The 7,763-nt window shown below is 42.0% G+C and overlaps 1 long non-coding RNA gene across 1 annotated transcript; it reads left to right on the top strand.

Moving 5' to 3' along the window:
- Positions 1–890: 890 nt before the first annotated feature.
- On the top strand, positions 891–6,715 carry LOC124907966 (uncharacterized). The gene is made up of 2 exons (XR_007088054.1): positions 891–1,260; positions 6,478–6,715. It is a non-coding gene; the product is annotated as an uncharacterized LOC124907966 (long non-coding RNA).
- Positions 6,716–7,763: the final 1,048 nt, after the last annotated feature.

Raw genomic sequence — 7,763 nt, 5'->3', positions numbered from 1 at the left:
AATTCTTAGATATATTAAGAAAGATGCTAAGAAAATAAAATCCCACTTTCAACCCAACCAATGTCAAATAGCAGAAATATTAATGAGGATGGAACATTTTCATAGCATTCACACAAATATTTGAGGGCTTTCACATGTCAGGCACCCCTCCAGGCTCTGAGATATGTGAATAAACAGGACTGAAAAAAATTTCTGTCCTTCTACTGCAGGAGGCAAACAATAAACAAATTATTACTAAAACGTGCATCGGTGGTCATGAATATGATGGGGAATAAAAGCACGCACGGGAGGGACGTGGGGCTGGTGGGCGGCTGCAATTTTAATTAAGGTGGTCTGGTAGATCTCACTAAGAAAGTGACCTTTGAACAAAGACTCAAAAGAATAAGACACACAAACTCCCTGGAACGTTCTTCCCACCAACAGGGTGAAAGCAGGTGCACCAGCCCTGAGACAAGAGTGAGCCTGGTATGCCTTCCAGAACCTCATCCATTTGGATTCACATTGGCTTATTACAGAGCTGAGAGAAGCAACATTGGGAAGAATGCATTTTGTTTGAATTGGCACCTTGGGAGATCTTTTTAAATACAACTTGACTCTATTTTTGCTTAATAAAGGTTAGGAAAAACATGATCATAGATGGACTGAGTCTTAATATCACATTGATAAATTAGGATAAGGTCCCCAAATACAAGCCTTCTAGAGATAGGAAGGGAAGAAAAGGGAACTTAGTATTCACTCAGCAATAGGCGTCTAAAAGGTTACAGGAAGGATCCCAAGCCTCAGCCGCTTGTGAATATAAATCAGATCCCATTAACCTAAGCGCTCTGGGCTCTCTGGTTCCTCGCCCCATCAGCATAGGTAGGATTTCCAGCTTACTTTCAAGGTCTCTTCCTCCTGCCAGGTATTGCAGGGAGGCCCCGGAAGGTGTCACCTGTGCACTCAGGCATCAGCCCTGCCGCAGCTTCCCTCTGCTGCCTCAGGCTGCCAACTGCTGCTGCCTGAATGCCCTTCTGGCTGCTGCTCCCTGAAGCACCCTGGCCTCTGCAGTGCCAGTCATCAGTCACCTCTACTGCTCCTGCCCACTGCTGCTAGGGACCTGCGGATGGACAGCGAGTGGCTGCAGCATCATCACTCTCTATCCTCAAGAGTCCCTGGCGGCTGCAGTCTAGCATGAAAGCAGATGGAAGACATCACCCTCTTGCCTGCATTAGCCTGATCGGGGGTCCTCTGCAAATGGCTGAGCCCCAAGCCCCTGAGTTGGTGAGCCTGCTCCTCTTTTTCTCCTGTATCCTTTCCTCCTAAGGATGCCCACATTGCTCTAGAGTGATTGGATCAGAGTGAATTCAAGAAACAGCTACGATGTTGCTGTTCTTAAAATTAGCAGATCCCTCTGACCCTCAGGTTCATTACAGATTCTGACTTTTTCTTCTCTTAAAATACACTTTATAGCAGGAGCTCCCAAAGCCCCCCACCCCATGCCCAGTCCCTGGCTTACAATTCGATCTCTGTCAACCTCTCATCCCATCCTTCCCTCCCAGTTGATCAGATGTGCTCATTACAACCTTTGTTGTGGAAACCACTCCATAGCTACTTGCCTTAGAGGCTTTTTTTTTTTTTTTTTTTTTTTTTTTTTTTTTTTTTGAGATGGAGTCTCGCTCTCTCGCCCAGGCTGGAGTGCAGTGGCGCAATCTCGGCTCACTGCAAGCTCCGCCTCCCGGGTTCATGCCATTCTCCTGCCTCAGCCTCCAGAGTAGCTGGGACTACAGGCGCCCGCCACCACGCCCGGCTAATTTTTTTGTATTTTTAGTAGAGACGGGGTTTCACCATGTTAGCCAGGATGGTCTGGATCTCCTGACCTCGTGATCCGCCCTCCTCGGCCTCCCAAAGTGCTGGGATTACAGGCGTGAGCCACCGCGCCCGCTCGCCTTAGAAGCTTTTTAGCAAGTACTACAGTTCATTCACTTTTAAATGAATTTTTTCTTAAGCTAATTTTCCCCATTTGAGCATTTTTAATGTTGGGATGTATCTTATAATCAATGAAATGCAGAGTTTAATTGGTAGGGTTGTTTTGTTTTTGTTTCGGTTTTCATTCTTGGTAATGCATAAAGCCATGTCATATCTTACAGCCCATGGTGTCTTAGAACTGATAAGCTATGGCCTCTACCTCAGTGGGTAGGTAAAGCTGAGGGGTTTTCTTCATGACAGTCTTGCTAAATCCGAGCCCCAGGTTTTTCCTAAATTCATGTTGCCCACGCTTTATTTGATTTCATCCTCATGCTGACTTTAAGGAGTAGGTACTATTCATTATTCCCATTCTAAATACGAGAAAATTGACCCAAAGAAGTGTAGTCATAGACTCAAGGTCACAGAACAGATAAGAAGCAGAAGCGGAAGCAGAAACGAAGCTTGTCTGATTTTCTGTCCTCAAAGCTCAGCACTTTTCCTTCTCCTCCATCCTGAACTTTCCACTCAAAAATGGCACAAAGATCCAAGGACTCATGTCAAAGCTGTGCAGAGTGCTGTGATCATGCAGCTCTTGGGATACCCTTAAAGTTAGGCATTAGTTAGCTTCTTGGCAATCTTAACAGTCAAAACCCCCAAGATGTGTTTAATGCTATCCTACTTGTCTATTTTTGCTTTTGTTGCCTGTGCTTTTGGGGTCATATCCAAAACATCATTGCCCAGACTAATATCAAGAAGCGTTTGCCCTATCTTTTCTTCTGGTCGTTTATTGTTTCAGGTCTTACATCTAAGTCTTTAATCAATTTTGAGTTGATTTTTCTATATGGTGTGAGATAAAGTTCCAGTTTTATTCTTCTTCATGGATATCCGATTTTCCCAACAACATTTATTGAAGAAACTATCATCTCCCTACTGTGTCTTATTGGTGTTCTTGTTGAAGATCAATTGGCCATAAATGCAGAGATTGATTTCTCGGCTCTCTATTTTCTTCTATTTGTCCATGAGTCTATTTTTATGCTGGTACCATGCCATTTTGCTTACTATAACTTTGTGGTATAATTTGAAATCAGGTATTGTGATGCTTCCCAGCTTTGTTCTTTTTGCTCAAGATTGCTTTGGCTCTTTGGGGGGTCTCTTTTAGTTCCATATGAATTTTAGGAAAATTTCTGTGAAAAATGCCATTGGAATTTTGATAGGGACAGCATTGAATCTGTAGATTGCTACGGATTGGGTAATGTGAACATTTTAACATTATTAGTTCTTTCAATCCATGAACACAGGATATCTTTCCATTTATTTGTGTCTTCTTCATTTCCTTCATTAATGTCTTATACTGGTCGGTGTACAGATCTTTTACCTCCTTGGTTAAATTTATTTCTGAATAGTTTTTATACTATTGCAAATGAGATTTTTTTTTAGATTTTCAGATCGTTCATTGATAGTATATGAAATGCTACTAATTTTTACATATTAATTTTGTATCCTGAAACTTAAAAAGCTTCTGCCCAGCAAGAGAAACAATCAACAGAGTAAAGAGGCAGCCTATGGAATGGGAAAGAGTATTTGAAAACCACGTATCTGATAAGGAGTTAATATCCACAATAGATAAGGAACTTAAATGACTGAAACAACCCTATTTTAAAATGTGTAAAGGACCTGAATAGACGTTTTTCTAAAGAAGATATACAAATGGTTAACACATATATGAAAAAATGCTCAATATCACTCATCATCAGAGAAATGCAAATTGATATGCAATGAGATATCATCTCAACACCAGGTAGAATGACTATTATCAAAAAGACAAAAGATAAGTGTTGGCACGGGAGTGGAGAAATGGGAAGCTCTGTACATTGTTGGCAGGACTGTAAATTCGTACAGCCATTGTGAAAAACAATATGGAAGGGCTCCTCAAAATTTTGAAAATGGAACTACCATATGATCTAGCAATTCCACTTCTGGGTATCAGTCTAAAGGAAACGAAATCAGTATTTCAAAGAGATGTGTCTGTAATCCCATGTTTATCTCAGTACTACTCACAATAGCCAAGGTATGGACTCAACCTAAGTGTCTATAAACAGATGAATGGATAAAGAAAATATGATACACACATGTGCACACACACAGTGGAATACTATTCAGCCTTATAAAAGAGGGAAATTCTGACATTTATAACAACATAGGTAAACCTGCAGGGTACTGTGCTAGGTGAAATAAGCCAGCACAGAAAGGAAAATATTGCAGGATCTCACTTATATGTGGCATCTAAAAAAGTCAAACGCATAGAAGCAGGGAGGTGGTTGCCAGGGGTTGGGAGGTGGGGAGGAAATGAGGAGTCATTGGTCAAAGGGTACAAAGTTTCAGTTAGGATAAAGAAGTTCTGGAGATCTGTCATACAGCATGGTGTCTATAGTTAATAATAATGTATACTAGGCCGGGCACAGTGGCTCAAGCCTGTAATCCTAGCACTTTGGGAGGTCAGGACAGGCGGATAACTTGAGGTCAGGAGTTCGAGACCAGCCTGGCCAAACTGGTAGAACCTCGTCTTTACTGAAAATACAAAAATTAGCCAGGTGTGACTGTGGGCGCCTATAATCTCAGCTACTAGGGAGGTTGAGGCAGGAGAATCACTTGAACCTGGGAGGCAGAGGTAGCAGTGAGCTGAGATTTTACCACTGCACTCCAGCCTGGGTGACAGAGCAAGACTGTGTCTCAAAAATAAATAAATAAATAAATAAATAAATAAAAAAAATAAAATTTCAGTTTAAAAATAATGTATACTTGAAAATTTCTAATAGATCTTAAATGTTCTTGCCACACACAAAAAATGGTAAGTATGCCAGGTGATGACTATGTTAATTAGTTTGATTGTGGTGATTATTAAACAATGTATACATATACCAAAACATCACCTTTATACTGTAAATATATATGTTTTTATTGTCAAGTATACCTCAATAAAGCTGGAAAAACATTTAATTCAAAAATAAGATAAACATGAAACCCTAAGATGCTTCCTTTTTTGTGTTTTTAGTCCCCAAATGCAATGAAATTCTGAGTTCTTAAAACCACTCTTTAGGGACTATGATAATTTCCTTATCGGTTCCATATGTTTTACTAGTGTGGTCTCAGAGGTTAGGAATCAACATTCCTCTGCCCCCAATTTCCCTTCCTTCCTAAAGTGCAGAGTCAACCAGAGATGAGTACGAGCATCCTGGTTTATAGGTTCCACCGGGTCTTTAGAGACCATCTCCTCACTGACTTTATTCGGGGGCTTTATCTTCCTGCTCGAATGCTTTTGTAGCAGCCCAGTGCCCTGAGAGTTGTTCTGGGAGGCACCAGATATTTATTTAAAAAAAACCATTGTTCTCTTATGGGTGCCACTTGATTACTCACTTGCCAACCCTAATCAACAGATGGAAACAATTTTGAGCACCTCAGTGAATGATTTTTTCTCTCCTTTTATATCAACCTATCATTCTGCTTGGTGTTGAAAGTGTGGAAGGGTGAGACACTCACCTTGTTTACCATCAAAGTGGGTATCAGAATGATATAACAGCAAGAGGCACCTGCGTTTCAATCCTGACTTTTATTTGTAATGTAACCTTGTGTAAGTGATTTAGCCTCTCTGACTCAGTGTCCTCATCTGTAAAATGAAATCAATTGCATCTAAGGCATAGGGTTGCTTAAAAGATTAAAGGAAATCACAGGCAATACCCTTAGCCAAAAGCCTTAGACAAAGTAGGCACTCAAAAAAATGTTATTTCTTTTTCCTTGGGGAGAAGAAAAAATACACATATGAAGCAATTAGTGAACGAGACAGCAGATACACAATGCTAAATTGCTGGTAGAGTCAGTAAGTGCTCAAGGAGCCGGAGGAAGGAGACTTCAAAGTAGGCTGGAATCTACAGGGAAGGGCTGGGGAGAAGGAAAAAAAGGGTCAGCCGCTGGAGGGTGGGTCAGAGGGAACCACTGGGGAGACGGGCCGGGGAGGGGCGGCAAGCTCACTCCTTTTACCTCTGGGTTTGAAACTGACTCCATAAGCCCTTTGGGAACAAAACTGTTTTGCCCCATTTGGACTTCCGGGTGTTTAAAAGTAGTGAGGGATACTAACCAAACAACCATAATAAAGGCGTAAAGTTTTGTTTCTTCTTTTGTTTTTTAACTAGCAAGGCCATAATGAAATTTGAAGCAGAAAGTGAAAATTTGCATCCATCTCTGCTGCAGGAACCCTGTTTTAAAATTTCCTCTTCTCAGATCTGTGTCCCTAGGAGGACGCAGCGCGTGATGAAATACAAAATTCTCCGTTGCTGATAGCAGAAGTGATTAGAAGGGGGGTGGGTGAGGCAGAAATCATCTTTTAGTTTAAACTGTTGTAAATCAGACCCGAAAACTAGGCTATACATTATGCTTTTGTTACTCTGAGAGTTAAATTATAAGGAAATGAACTGTGCATAATAATTCCCCACGTCACTGACTTGCCTCCTTCTCAGCTTAATGTGCTCTCCTATGAAGCAGGTTTAGCGCTTGGAGCCATGGCTGGGCGAAAGGCGCCCTCTAGTGGCTATCTTCTACAAGGCCGCCGGAGGGGCGGGAGAGACCGTGTCCCCACCTGGACAAAGAGAAGCCTCATCCTCACCTGCTTTTGGAGACACTGGGTCAGGAAGGTCAAAGGAAGTGGCTTCCAAGAGAACTGTGTGTCTCCAGTTGACTTTTCCAAGTTGTCAATAAAAATTGTGAATTCTTGTTTCAATATCAGTTATCTGATACCTGTGTCAGTACCTCCTCCAGCCAAGCAGGGAAATAGCAAACAGGAATTCCCGTTTAAATTTCGTGCATTTCACCCAATACTTGGTAAAAGCTGAATAGCATACAGCTGCCAACCCACTCCCGCCCTGGCCTGCCCTCAGTTCTTGTTGAGCTCCATTTTCTGAGAGAGAATGCCCTGGTATTCGAGAAGGCCGCCTAACCAAATTCCTTGCAGAACAGAAAGTTTCAGATAGTTCTGGGGCCCTGCGAAGCCTCTCACTAGAATGTATTATTTTTTTCCTTAGACCAAAGCAATTAAAAAAAAAAAAACTCAGAGTTTCAACTACAGAACTCATAAAGAGGCTTCCCACTGACTGGGTTTAAACAACAACTGAAAAAAAAGGTCTGGTTGAAGCAGGGTTTCTGCTCAGGATTTCTTCTCTCTTCAGGTGACCTAAGAAGGCTGACCAGAAAGAGTTCACCCTCTGTCACTTGCCTGTGCTCATGACTAATGACACCAAGAGTCATCCGTACCCTGAACACTCCCTGCCACATGCTTCCACCCTCTTTCTTAAGTGGATGGTGTGGAGAGGTCACAATAACACACAGCCTGAAATTGCTCTAACTGTAAACCCAGAAAAGCTGAGACTGGTCTCATTTAATTTACAAAGTTTACTTTGCTAAGGTTGAGGATGCGTGCCCTGTGAGCCCGTGACACAGCCTCAGGAAGTCCTGATGACATGTGCCCAAGGTGGTCGGGGAACCGCTTGGTTTTATACATTTTAGGGAGACATGAGACATCAGTCAACATATGTAAGTAGTACATCAGTTCTGTCCAGAAAGGCAGGGACAACTCAAAGCAGAGAGGGGGGCTTCCAGGTCACAGGTAGGTGAGAGACAAATGGTTGCATTCTTTTGAGTTTCTGATAAGCTTTTCCCAAAGACACCATTAGAATATGCAGCTATCTCAGTGACCAGAGGGATGACTTTGAATAGAATGGGAGGCAGGTTTGCCCAGAGCAGTTTCCATCTTGAATTTTCCTTTCAGCTTA

Source organism: Homo sapiens, chromosome 2 (genome assembly GCF_000001405.40).
Source record: "Homo sapiens chromosome 2, GRCh38.p14 Primary Assembly".
In the NCBI taxonomy this organism is placed as follows: domain Eukaryota; kingdom Metazoa; phylum Chordata; class Mammalia; order Primates; family Hominidae; genus Homo; species Homo sapiens.
This window is presented reverse-complemented; position numbering and strand designations above follow the sequence as displayed.